This window comes from Homo sapiens, chromosome 9 (genome assembly GCF_000001405.40).
Source record: "Homo sapiens chromosome 9, GRCh38.p14 Primary Assembly".
In the NCBI taxonomy this organism is placed as follows: Eukaryota; Metazoa; Chordata; class Mammalia; order Primates; family Hominidae; genus Homo; species Homo sapiens.
Genome location: NC_000009.12, coordinates 3,489,342 through 3,503,908, shown reverse-complemented (window position 1 = coordinate 3,503,908; position 14,567 = coordinate 3,489,342). Strand labels below are relative to the sequence as shown.

General features: G+C 34.2%; 1 protein-coding gene across 28 annotated transcripts in view; it reads left to right on the top strand.

Moving 5' to 3' along the window:
• The window catches only part of RFX3 (regulatory factor X3), a 307,705-nt gene that overhangs the window by 22,093 nt on the left and 271,045 nt on the right, over nt 1-14,567 (top strand). For 7 of the 28 annotated variants that reach the window (XM_024447631.2, XM_024447630.2, XM_047423688.1 and 4 more), the window contains one exon: nt 13,564-14,540. The exons of 12 other annotated variants lie outside the window; for them this stretch is intronic. In XM_024447631.2, the coding sequence (XP_024303399.1) occupies nt 14,459-14,540 (82 nt within the window). In that variant the 5' untranslated portion in view covers nt 13,564-14,458. Of the gene's footprint in view, nt 1-13,563; nt 14,541-14,567 lie in introns of those variants that run through there. 9 more of the 28 variants (NM_134428.3, XM_006716844.3, XM_017015000.3 and 6 more) reach the window with 2 other exon arrangements.

Genomic DNA, 14,567 nt, shown 5'->3' with positions numbered 1-14,567 from the left:
TGCTAATTTGGTTGGTTATACCCTTAGTTTACTTATGGCTAATTTAAATTTGACAGAATCTTTGCATATGATGGCTTCTGTGATAAAAATGCTCTTCAGTGTTTTATATGAAACAATGTCATTGTTTATATAGCATAGCTATCATCTAGTCATCTTTGATAGTAATTTATGAATTGTATTTATTTGTAAAACTTTGTACATGTAAAAAGACATAAAAGGCAAATGAGAGATTATTTAAATAAAAGTTACTAATGGAGGCAAATTGTCTTGAATTCTATTATTTTGACAAATAGATTGTCATACTGATATTTTTAGAATGGGGTTTTCTGTGTACTAGTGTCACAACCATATTTTCCATTTCAGTTTGGTGTCAGATACTCAGTTTGGTGTCAAATATTCAGCATTATGTGCCTGTCATCCATTATGAAATGTACAGTTTCACAGTATTCGAGGCTATTCTACTGTATTGGACTACTTAAAAAATGGTACAAAATAAAATATAATAAATATAACATAAATGTGTATACATTTAAGTTATTTAAGGAAATAGACATTTTTATGGAACCTTAAGCAAAGCAAAAAACCATCTTTCTCTCTTTGAACTTATACAATTATATATACAATATTTATTTTTAATCTAGGTTTCTATCCTGAAAGGCCGGTTCAATGATTATACTTGCAAATATGCCCAGGCATTTATGTCTGAAGTGAGTCAGCTGTGCACACATTTTCTCAAGCTGTGGGCCAGAGTCTGTTGAAGACGAGTACCTGGTTATTTCTGACATTAAAAAAGTAAAAAATTAAGCAAAATTTAGTATCTCCACTTGTTTGTACCACCGTTGTGTTTATGAAAAGATATGTGAGGTATAAGAGACTTTGGTGACCAATGAGTCTTCTCTCATGTTTTTCCTCGTAACTCTTTTGATTAGGAAACATCTAAGCATATTACAGCATAGAGCAGTTTGATGAAATGATGAAGTGAATTTCCATGTATCCATCACTCTCCTTTAAAGTTAACAACTTATGGTTAATCTGGTTCCAGCTATAATCATTTATTCCCCACCTATCTTATTATTCCCATTGCTTTTTACCTTTGGAAAGAGAACCGACATAGATGACTCAGGGCTAACATTCACATTGCCAGTCCATTGCTCTGCCTTGTATGTTGTGTTATCTACCCTGTGGATGGAAGGGTGAGGAAAAAAAAATCGTGAAAATAATGAAAGTTTCTAAACAAGTGTTAAATTTAATATTTTGAATTGTGAAGTGTCATATGTCTGATGTTAGATTTAGAGTTGGAATTGAATACTGTATAATTTTTCAAATTTAGTGTTGACTGCACAAAGACTGAAAGTTCTGTGAGATGGTATTATTTACCTCTTTATTAAGATGGCTTTTATGTTTTTGAAAGATTTTCTGTGTATTTTTCTTTCACTAAAAATTGTGAAATATATAAGTGAGTTTTTGGCATTCATAATATGATGTGGCTGAAATTATCCTTTGGATTTATAGAATGTACTTCAAGGTACCTTTTCATTATCCTCAATTATTGATTTCAAAAATCAGCTCATTTCAGTATCTCAAGTTTTTAGATATATAAAGGTGAATGGTAGTAGTTAAAAAGTGAAAGTGATTTTTTTTTTTTTCTTTTGAGACAGAGTCTTGCTGTGTCTCCCAGGCTGGAGTGCAGTGCGTGATGTGGGCTCACTGCAAGCTCCGCCTCCCGGGTTCACACCATTCTCCTGCCTCAGCTTCTCGAGTAGCTGGGACTACAGGCGCCCGCCACTACGCCCGGCTAATTTTTTGTATTTTTTTTTTTTTAGTGGAGACGGGGTTTCACTGTGTTAGCAAGAATGGTCTCGATCTCCTGACCTCGTGATCCGCCCGCCTCGGCCTCCCAGAGTGCTGGGATTACAGGCGTGAGCCACCGCGCCTGGCCGAAAGTGATTTTTGATAGAAGTTAGAAAACGTGTTTAACTGAGGTTACTCTTATAGTCAGTTCTAATCAGTATCACATTCCTGTAATAAATTTTAATATTAAAAATTTCTTTGGGCAGGGCACGGTGGCTCACATCTGTAATTCCAGCACTTTGGGAGGCTGAGATGGGTGGATCACTTGAAGCCAGGAGTTCGAGACCAGCCTGGCTAACGTGGTGAAGCCCTGTCTCTACTAAAAATACAAAATTAGCTGGGTATGGTGATACATGCCTTGTAATCCCAGCTACTCTGGAGGCTGAGGCACGAGAATCGCTTGAACCTCGGAGATAGAGGTTGCAGTGAGCTGACATTGCACCACTGCACTCCAGCCTGGGTGAAAGAGTGAGACTCTATCTCAAAAAAAAAAAAAAAAAAAAGAAGGAAAAAAATATGTATCTTTTTGTATATCAACATCCTTATTGATCTTGGCTAAACAAATTGTTGAAATAATTTGAAGAAACAAAATAAGGAAATAGTCTGTCAGGAGAAATAATATTTTTATGGCCCTCGGAGTAATTTTATTTTTCTTTTTATACTTGGTAATACATGTGTACAGAAAAGTATTCTAACCTGTAAGTCAAGTTCTTGTTTACCAACTCTATTTATATATCAAAGAATTTACAATTCTTGATAAAAATTATGAAATTAAGAAAAATCTGTTCTATTTGGCAACATTTACTGAGGATCTTTGATTTTTAAAAATTTTCTTTTAGGAAGGTGGGTAAATGGAGATGAAGCAAATGTAATAGGGTGTTACTAGTCCAAGAAAACTGGAATTTGCCAAAAAGAGGCTAATTGCATGGTGGAATATGTTATTTTATATAGCTACATAGTATATAGTTTCTTTTACGAATGCCACACTTAATTATATTGAAGCTTTGTAGCCTTGAGGAGACAAGGACCCAATGAATACCAGAAGGCACATTCCAATGACACTGCCAATATAGATATCCATACCTGTTGGTTTTATTTTTGCCATTTAGTTAATAGTATTGACAGGGTCCTAAGTATTCATGTAACCAGTTTAGAACTTTGATTCTTTAAGATCAGATCCTTAACAGAATTATTGAATATACTCAACTAATAATTGACTAAGTATTAAATAACTGTTTTGGAAGTTAACACATTTGCCTAACACGTGCCTTGTGACTAGTATACTCCTCAGTAGAATCTGACTTTAATAACTTTATTGACTAGTGTGTGTGTATGTGTAGTGCGTGTGTTTGAATGATTTGTTCTTATTTGGGAAATATCAATTTTAATTACTTTTAAAAGGTTTTCATACATTAGGCCCTATGGAATCAAGTTAAATTTTTCTTGTCATACAGGAGAACTAGAAAGTATTCAAATTAATTCTTTGTAAAATTAAGTGGAGCCTTTAAGTTACTAATCTTGGTTTTTACATTGTGTCTGCTGACATCACTGAATCTTTTAAGAACTTTTTTTTCTGAGTTGCATTTGTTTTAAGAAGGATGAAGCAAGGAATATATAATTATTGAATATAAACTTTCATATTTGTTTTCTCTTTTTTCCTTTTCTTTTCATCCGGAAAATGAATCCACATTTCTTTTAACAAATCCTCTTTCAGTTCTCTTTCTAACACGTTCTTGTCCGTCATTTTCTTCTACCTCTTTTCTCCCATTTGCTCTGCTGTGCTGTGCTTTGCTTTGCTATGCGCTGTTTCAGTTCTAAACCACCTTAGTGAACCCATTCTCTTCTTGCTTCATCCTCAGTTCTTTGGTCAGATGTTGCCTTTACACCTCTCAGTGTACTTCAGCTCTCCTTTATTGTTGATTTCTTGGCCTTTCTTTTTTGGATAGTTGTTCCACATTCCTCTGTTTGTTGCTCTGGGGTACTTTTAGAGAAATAGTTAATTTCTTTTACTCTGCTTCCTGTAGTGTGTAATGAGAAGAAATGAAAGCAACCATTGAAGGACAGATAACTGGCTCTTTAAAAAGGAATAAGGTAGTGCAGTTGACAGGTTATTTAAAGGGTTCCCAGCTCAGAATAGTTAAGTTGAAGGGCTAAATGGTTCCAAGAATGTAGAGAAAATGTCTCACTTAAAAAAAATTAACTTTCCAAAGTTGCAGGTAATATTAATATAGCAAAAATATCCGTGGAAAGTCCTGGATAGATTTTCATAGTTAAGATGATTATTATTTTTGTGTGTGTGGTCTTTGGTATTTTATGATAGAACACCTTTATCTTGGTCTCCAAATATCTTATGAAAAAGGCTTATTTAAAAATAAGTAATACAAATTAGTACAGTTTCTAAAGGAATCAGAAGCTGTCCCTTAATGTCTACCCACTTTTCAAAATCCATTTCCCACAATTTGACTTAACAGTATTTCATTTATAAACTCTGCTGTGCTTTTCTTCTCATTTACATTCAAATAATGCTATCTAATTTTAGTAAATTTATGTGAATAATTTATTAAGTGTTAATCTTTAAAGTTATAGAATGTGCATATGATAGGCTGGTATAGATTTTATAATTAATATAAAATTATTACTGTCCAAAAGTGATGAAAAAAATCTGTTTTTATAATGAAATGTTGAACTTCTTGATTTTTAAAATAATTTTTTTGGGGGAATGGTTTTTATTTTTACCAACTTCATGATTTCTGGGATTCCTAGTTTTAACTTATTTTTCTATTATTGAAGTTTATAAAAGTTGAAGGTACTTAGTGCTGCTTTTTTCCCTAAAACTTGCTCAGTTCATTTATATCCATTATGACCTTTTAGGAGACTGTATGAAAATAAAAACTTGGGATTGGTAGGTGGTATAATTGAAATGTAGATGATAATCTGTTCATTGTTTGTTTTACCAAATTAGTTAGGGATTCTGAGGATACATTTTGAATATTTGTGTATGTTTAGCATTTTGTCCCTTTGTTAGAAATCTCTCAGTGTGACTTGTTTTTAATAGGATGTGTCTTGAATTGTAGGCCAATCACTCCTGAAAAGTATTAAGCCCTTTAAACACACTGGTTGGACCCATAGAGGGAAGCCTACAGGTTTATTAGTACTCCTTATCCTGAAAGCACAGCATACCCTTTTAGGTTGCACAGCAACAGACTCCTAGCAACCGTAATAGATTGAATTTCTAAGAGTGACCAGGCCGGATGTAATAATAAAGCAAGAGGTACAAACAGTTGTCATGGTTTTCTTTTCACGGTAAGCTAGTTTGATTTGGGAAAGCTTAGCTTTTCAAAAATGGGCAACCTTCTTATAAAACTACTGCTGTTTGTGCACAGGACTTGTGGTATTAAAATAGCAATAATAGTACCAAATTTAAACAGCTACTGCTTAAAAATAATATACCCAAAATAACAACAACAAAAAAAGGATATCACGTAAAGAAGTTTTCAGGGAAGTATTTTTAAACAGTTTATCAACAACTTAAAAGTGTACTGTAGCAAAATAATGCTTTTTAGAAATAAAACTGATATTTGTGTTTTCTCACTCTTGCTGTGGCCCTCTGTTTCACTTTGCAGCAGCTCCTTGTAGTTTTATGTGATTCAAGGGATGTTCATATAAAACTGATGATTATGATAAACTTAAAATTTATCTAAGAAAACAGGCTATTTGAACTGTACATGAACAACATTTTTTGAAATTAAGAACTAATAAGTAGTGGAGCACAGAATTTATTAAAGAAGAGTAAAGTGTTAAAATATATAATCCTTTACAGCGACAGTAAAAGTATCGGTGATATTCCTAAGAGTGTAACATTGTGCTGTAAGTTAACATTTCTCCTTTGTGTCCTTTAGTATGTGATTGCTAATGTAGACGTGAAAAGGAGATTAATTCAGATACATTCACAACCTGAAACAAGATGCTTCCATCAAAAGAATCAGATCCTCATATAGCTGCTAGAGTTGGAACTACAGTCTTTGACAGCAATAAGCTGTAAATATACACACATGCTAATACCCTTGATTTGTTCATCTTTTGTGTCAGCATTTGGAAAAGATTGTTAAAGTGGCAGTTATAGTAAAGACGGGCAATTACAGTAAAGAGCAGAAATTAGGTATTTGTGACCTATTATATTTCATTAAAAGACTTCCTTATTAAAATGGCACTGCTTACTCTGATTACTTGACAGCTGCCCTAAACAGATTAGAAAATACACAGCTTCAGCTAAAGGTAAAATCAGCCTCTTTAAGCAAGCTTATGGCATAGAACAAGTAAATGGTATAGTGTAAGCAATTTTTTTGTAACACTTTTGCTTGAGGTAGAGATGTTTGTCAGTGATTAAGTGGTGTATTCTTTCACATTCCTGTAATAATAGTTTGTCCACAGTGGCATTTCCCATTGAGATATTTTTATACACCCATCTGATATCATACTAGTTCCTACTAGTATGAGGCATCCTAGTTCGAGAGATCAGCATGACTTCACCAAAAAATCTTTTTCCTGCTAAGTGATGAGTTACAGCTCCAGTTCAATGTAAATACTGCCTTTACCAGGCAAAAACTCTAATTTTTGGAAGTTTCACCACGAGGTTATCAGTTTTTTTCTTTATCCTTTAATAATCCACTGGAGCCACTGTGAATTTAATATTTAAATTTGGGCATCACTTTCAGAACATTTAATTGTTTGCTTATTTAGAGAAGAATTCCTTGTGGCACTTGTTACCTTCAAGATATTTCTATTTACTTTGTTATATAGTATAGTGACTGTAGCACTTTATAGAATAGTACTGCCTATCAATTGTTCAGATTGTAGTTTAGCAGTTAAGTAGCCTGAATTGGTACATATTGTAACATTTCAAGACTTTGTCACTATATTTCACATCACGAGGTATGGCATAAACACTGTAGATCAGCCTGTGAGTATCAAATCACAGCTCACTCTTGAAGACACAAACACAGGTTCAGTATGAAGCAGATTTGTGGGAAGATTACCTCCTGCAACTAATCTTGAATGTAGATTTTTGTCAGGACTGTCACAACATTAATAGAAGGCTTGTTGTAGTACTTGCATGGATCTGTGAAATTTCCACAAAGATGCAAACTGTGCTGTATGAGACAGTTGTATGCCAGTTCCACATACACAAGTATCTTTAACTTACATATTTAGTGTAATTTTTTTAATCTGATGCATCTTGCATGAAGTGTGTTAGCTTGCAAAATTGTTAGGGAAAAATGTGGGTTCTTTTGAATAAGGGAAACCAGAGTTCAAATCCTGGTTTTGTCATTTGATAGCTAATTATCCTTAAATAAGTTCCTTAACTGCCTTGATCCCAGATTTTTAATGTAAAAATGGGAATATTACCTGAAAGATAAAGTGAAAGGGAAAATGAGATAAGCGTATAGAGAGAGCTTAACGTGATAGTACAGAATTAGTAGTTGAACTGTGGAAGCTAGTATTCTTATTTTCATCTTTCTGGCTTAGTCTTTGTGGTATAGGATATGAGGAGAGTTTTGCAGGAGAGGGTAGCAGCTGAAAATAGTAACATGGCAGTAGACAATCAGAAACAAAATTGTTTTCAAAGAGGAATGTTATGTACTGTATGTTAAGTCATTTTCAGTATTGGTAAGTGATTAAGAATTCTTTAAACTTTTATAAAATGACCTCTCATTCAGATTTCAATCTTGGGGCAGGATCATTAAAGATTACAGGAGCAGTAATAGAAAAAAATATGCACTAAGAGATGAAATACTTACTACTTTGCACAAGGAGTAAAATTTCATTAACAGAACAAGTTTAGTTATTTTAGTAAATATATACAACGAGGCTCGTATTAAATAGCCTGTCTTTAAAATTTTCTTCCGTGTAAAAATCTGTATGAGCAGAAGTGACTAAACTGCCCAGGCTTGTGTAAGCACCTTACAATGTTGATATAAGAGAACTGAAAATGAATATAGCTTCTGCTTAGAAGCAGTAAAGTAACAGTGGAGTCACATAAAAGTTTGATTACCTTTGGCACTTTTTGGCCCACCCCTTAAAGCTATTTAATGTGCTCATCATTGATTTACAAAATATGGTTTATGTTTGAATATATTCTGTTGTTGCTTAAGTGACCATAAAGGCATTTAATTTAATTAGAAGGTAATATGTTTAAAAGAATAGAAGTGGTTTGAAATATAATAATGGTTTGAAGTAGCTAGTGTGATTAAACTGGTTTAGGCAGTGGCTATCCTATTTCAATTCTTTGAGGAGAGTAAATCCAGCCTAAGATTAATGAAAGGAAGAGGCACAGAACATGCTTAACATTGCCTTGATATTTTAAGAGTGGGAAGAAAACCAGGCTAAAGTGATACTTTTAGAGCCAGGGGAAACAGTACTTACACAGATATAGTTACGCAGATACAGTCTTTCAACTAAAACCACTAGCTGATTCTATTGTTCTGCACATTTTAAGTTAATCATTTTTTTCTTGAGTACAATTTATGTGTGCATATTATTAAGCCATTTAATGACATTTTAAAGAATTAAATACTGCCAAAAATAAATCCAGAAATGTTAAATTTCAGAGTTAAAATATATTCTATTGATAGCTGCCATTTTTTTACATCAATGAATATGTAATTCTGATGTATTTTGTGTGGTGCAATGTCTGACTTATGGATGGTACAGTACAGTTGACCACTTGTAGAAATGTAGAACATAATTTTACCTTTTATGCTTAATTGCATATTATGTCTAGCTCAGTGACGATTCATACATTAGCTTCATAAATTTTCTTGCTACATAGAATTTTTTTTTCCTAAAAATGGAGAAGTTCTTGCTTTATGGTTATCTTTTTTTCCTTGATATTCTGAGCACTTTGAATGGTTGAATAGGGGAAAGTATAATATATATATATACATATACATTAATATACATACATATGTAAATACATACACATATGAAATAGTGTGGACTTTCTTTTCAGGGCAATTTAAAGTTAGAATTCTTCATATTGATAGAATTACTAGGTGAGAAAAACTAATTAAACTACCAAACTTGTCCAGACTCTCACTATTGGTAAGGCCTTTTAACACCAAAATCTTTTATGCAAACTGTACACTATATATAAATGCTTCTCAAAGTGTGAATGGAAGACCCCTGGAGGCCCTTTTTCAATTCCCTGTGTGAGGCTGCATTTTCTTCATAACTTCAGACAAAACAGCAGATTGAGTGCAGAACTAGATGTGAGAATCTGTCTTCTATTAAGCAAGACATTAATGGATTTTATAAAAATGTACACCAGTTCCATAGTTATCAAATTTTATTTTGGAAAATTTAGATTATTTTATAATTTAAAAACATTAACATAGAATGATTACTATTATTTTAAATTAATGAATGTTTATTATATTTCTCTGTTTTATTTTCTAATCAGATGGGTATAGATAGATACAACTATGATTTACTGAAGCCTTACCAGCTGGAGAGAGCCACTGTTGCTCATCTCTTCTTAATTCTGCATTCAGAATGTCACATTTCTAGCTTGAAAAGTAGCCATTCCAGAAGTATACACACCATGGAAATTAGTAGAAATCACAAATCTGACTTTTTTTGGTGGGGAGGGAAAGAGTGGAATGTTGGTTTTAAACATTTATCAGTACATGACTGGATATAACACATCCCAACAAAAGTTCTTTGGGATTCTCAAAAAATTTAAGATCTGAAGGGGTTCCAGGTCAACAACTCTGCTTATCACAAAAGAACTGCTGCTTGTTACTATACTATGCAAATTTAACACCAGAGTCTATGCAAATATATGATTGAGGCAGAATTTTCAGCCAGGTACTCTGTCTCTAGAGCCACTTTACCAGTCTTTTTTTCTATAGTGTCTTCTAACAAGATTAATTCCACAAAGTGATTTGAAGTTAAAAGATACGTGATATCTTCTGTGGCTCTCATCATACTAAGTACATAGATTAATTACTTGTTGACTGCTTTGAGACTATCAGTATTATGGGGGTATAGAAAAATGGAAAGAAAAAGGGTTATGGGCTTGAGTGGTTAGGGAAACCTTCAGAGATGAGGTAAAGCAGGACATGGATCTTAAAAGGTTGTTTTGGAGGTTTATTGGCTGTGAGGAAGAGGTTAAGCATACAATGGCATAGAGGCAAGTATGATTTTGGTATAAAGAGTTGGAAGAGCTTGTTGGGAAATTGTGAAGCAGATGGACTGGAAAGGAAATGGCTTAGGATTTGGACCTTAACTAAGTTTATAGGATAACCAGCCAGTGTGTGTGTGTATGTATGTATATATATATATATATATATATATATTTTTTTTTTTTTTTTTTTGAGATGAGTCTCGCTTTGTCGCCCAGGCTGGAGTGCAGTGGCGCCATCTTGGCTCACTGCAAGCTCTGCCTCCTGGGTTCACACCATTCTCCTGCCACAGCCTCCTGAGTAGCTGGGAATACAGGCGCGTGCCACCACGCCCGGAAAATTTTTTGTATTTTTAGTAGAGATGGGGTTTCACCATGTTAGCCAGAATGGTCTCGATCTCCTGACCTCGTGATCTGCCTGCCTCGGCCTCCCAAAGTGCTGGGATTACAGGTGTGAGCCACCGCGCCTGGCCCAGTGTATATTTTTTAAAAATGGATCACGTGTTTAGATGAAAGTGGCCCTTTAGGGAGATTAATCTGGCACATCTGTGTAGGATAGATAGCAGAGTGGATCAGAAGTCAGGGGAACCTCTCTCAATCATCTGAAAGGAAGCATATGGTACAGAACTTGGGCTTTTAATTGAGAAAGACTTTGGTTGAAATCCTTTTTCTGCTAGTCTTTTACTTTCAGTTCATGGATAAGATGTAGATAACAACTAGCCAGTGGGGTTGTAAATATTACTGAGGGTGTGAAAGAGCCTACAACAGGTTAGATGCCTGGCACCATGCTAGGACCCTCAGTAAATTATTATCAATACAACATTTATGACTACTACTACTATAATAATAATATTGTTATTATTTGATGAGTTATAATGAAGATTCAGGCTGGGCAACCATCCTTGTAAATAGGATGTGGGGAATCAGGCCCACCCCGACACCAATAAGAGCAAGAATACAAATGAAAGCTCACTCACTATATTTCTCCATACTTAAATGTTGCATATCAGTAAAGAAGTGGTTAAATCAAACATCCTCTGACCTCCTAACTTGACCAGAAACAGCTTTATAATGAGATAAATGACCACTTAGAATTCTCAGATTTTTTTAGCAGTTCTGTTCTAGAGCATAGTGGCAAAGGGAGAGCTGACCCTTTGTCACCTCATCTGTGTCCTGCAGTCTACCTCCATTTTTCATATCCTGGGCTCTTTGCCATAGCATGCCCACAAGATCATCCTGCAGGCAATGTTGCCCCACCCCTTGCAAGCTATCTGTTGACTACCCTGTAGGCGTAGAGTTGAGTATGCCTGAATCTCCATCTGTCATGAGGAGTATAGTCAAGAACTTTGCATGGGAATTTGGGGTCCTGGGAATGTGCTGAAGTAGAGTCTGAAGGACTCGGGGAGCATGGCCCTGGGCTGTGCAGACTTCTTGCCTCCCAAGGAGGTACCTGGCCAGAGGGCCAAAGCAAGCTCTCTAAAGTGAGTGGCCCAAGGGCAATGGGCCCTCTCGCCTGAGTCTCACGGTTGTGCTGGAAGGGACATCTGACATGAGTGTCAAATGAGCAGGGCTTATTTACTCTTAGTTATGGGGTATGAGAAAATGTGAGTGAAAAAAGATGAAAGATCACTGGGTTTCAGGAGAATTATGGAGCCACTGAGAAAGTAGGACAGTATTTGGGAGTTGGTAGAATGGGACCTGAATGTAGAATAGCCATGTTTTGCTCACCGTTATATCCTCCAGCACCTAATTACCTTCTAGCACATTGCCAAGCATCTAGTACTGATTCAATAAATTTTGAAGGGCAGAGTAGATATTTTGAATAGTTGTGCCAGAGATGAAAATAAAGTCATTGTAGAATATAGAAAGAAACAAGGAAAATAAGGTCTTGTGGGTGAGGCCAATGTAGCACTTTGGATTGTAGGTAGATAGCATCGATTAGCATGGTCATCTGTAAACTATTAGTATGGGGAGACTGTATTATATATTTAATTTTTGTATGTGTGATACCAAACAACTAGTCTTTCTTAAATGAATAATTGAATAATATACAAGAAGGAACTTTTAAGAAATGAATTGGATTTTAAAGTTAAGATGAGTGACAGAAATTTGTATCATCAGTAAACTGGTATACCTGAGGAAGTTGTAATCATAAAAAACAAAGAGATCCTAAGCAACTGTGGTTTTTGCTCACAATGAGATATGAAACAGTGAAAGATATGTTCAAAGAATAGGTTTTATTTGTAACCTATTTGGAAAGAAGAACACAGATGACTGTAGACTGGCCTAAAATTTTCACTTGATATTTGCAAGGTGTATATAGGGAAAGGTAGTAGGAGAAAAGGATTAGAAGTAATGGAGTAGGGTGAATTATAAACATTTATAACTGCAGATATGTTTGACTCATGTTGCTCAAAATTGTTAAGAAGTATTGTGTAGTCGTTTAGTTAATAACATATAAGGCCTCATGTCAGAAAATATACTGAGAGTAAAGTAAGAAAATGTAATAATATGGTTAAAATTGCCAAATTCTTTTCGAGAATCCAAGTGTGTTGATTATTGTAGATTATTACATTTTTGATGTATCTGGTTTGTTATCACCTAAATACACAGCAAACACCTGTGATTGTTTTAGTGATCCTTGTCCTGTCTTCTTCAAGTAATCTCAAATATGTGTATTTAGACTGTTGCCTATTCATATATACTCAGCTGTGCCTGTTTGCTTTGTTACTTTTCTATGTCTAATGGAGCAATATAAAAATTTATGGCAACTGTCACTTAATGTCACCTTTACCTTTAAAGAAAAAAGGTAAAGCCAAATCATGCCGGGTAACTACGATGCTCTTTATAGTTAACTAAATTATCAGATATACGTTGTAATAAGTTGATCTCTGATATCATGGGCCAAATTTAGGGAACATACATAAACACATACATGTAAGTATGTTTGTATATCATTGCTACTCCACATTTACTTTATTAGCCAATAAAGATCATTAGTTTAAAAATAACTTGTGTATTCTCCTTCCTTGAACAAAAGATCTTTCTTTTAAAAATTTCTATAAAACTAAATTATTTTTAAGGAATGAGCAAATGCATGTCAGCTGCTAAATCATTCTCACTTTTGCTTCTCTACAAGAAATTAGCAGGGTGATTTTCAGAATTGTTTGCTCTCTCATCTTCACAGTTTAAAAGCACATATTCTTTTAAAGAATGCTTTTTCTGAGATTTCCCCTAATTTATATTTCTTATTATTACAATACTATGATTATTCTTTGAATTATAGTTCTTTGAAAACTAAAAATTCTCTCATGTAAAATCAAAAACAGTATCTTTTTTGGCTAAATCAGAAACATCTAAAAATATCAGTGCATTCATGTGAAGAAATACTTCTAAAATAATTCAGTTATGTAATTAATATAATTAATACTTATCTATAAACTTAATAATTTTAAATAGTCACATGGCTTCTACATATCAAAAAATTCATTTTTAATGTGAACTAATTGTTCTTGCTTTTAATATTTTAGGCCACTTGGTCATTCTGGCATTTTATGGTAGAGAATACGTTGAGTTTGGCTCTGGAAGGAATATGAGGTAATTTGAACACATGTTCTTTATAAATAATGAACTGTGTGTACATAATACAGAGTATTTTCAGATGTCATATATGGAGTCTCATGTCTGAATTTTTTCAATAGTAATTTTCTTTTTTCATATTTTGATGTTTTTCCTTTCTTGATGGTTGGCAATAGTTAATATGGTGAAGAACTTTATTTTCTATCACTACTATATATGTTTTCAAGAAAACAGTATTATTTACATAGTTATGTGTTTTCAGTTTATATTTTTAAATGCTTCAGTTAACCTAGCTTTCGGTGGTGCTGTAAAAACCAGAAGAGAATTCCTTCCTTTCCACCTACCAACTTCCCATCCCAACCAATCCTGCCCCAGGTAGGATTAAGGTCATGCTGCATTTAAAAGTCATAACTGCCACACAGAGTTTTATAGAGGAACAATAAAGAAAGAGCACTGGAACTCCAATAATGTAAAATTTTCAGGCACTACTCAGAGTGCTTTGAGAGCACAAATATGAGACTCATAGGTTAGTCTTTTCCTGTCCTTTGATACCCATATGTGACCCTGTGTGATGTATGGGTTTGTCATTCTAAAATGGCAGTCAAATAAGTGTATATGCCACATATATTTTCATAGTGGTTTCATAGACTAAACATTAAGCCTATATCAAAGGAAGTTTCAATTAAAGGTAGAAAAATAATAGTTGACTTTATGAAATTAAGCCAATGATACAGTAGCAGGCTTATCAGTAGATATTAAGTATTTGGTAGAGTAATTGGTTAATATACTGCTGATGTCATAATTCCCCTACTCTACTACTCAATAATAGTTTTGTTATGTAGGAAGATGCAGCAGCTTGTTTGTGTGAACTTCTGCTTCCACTACAAACAGTACTTTAAAGACAGGCCTTCCACTGCCATTCAGAAAGGTGAAAAAAGCAGGAGTCAGGGTGGGG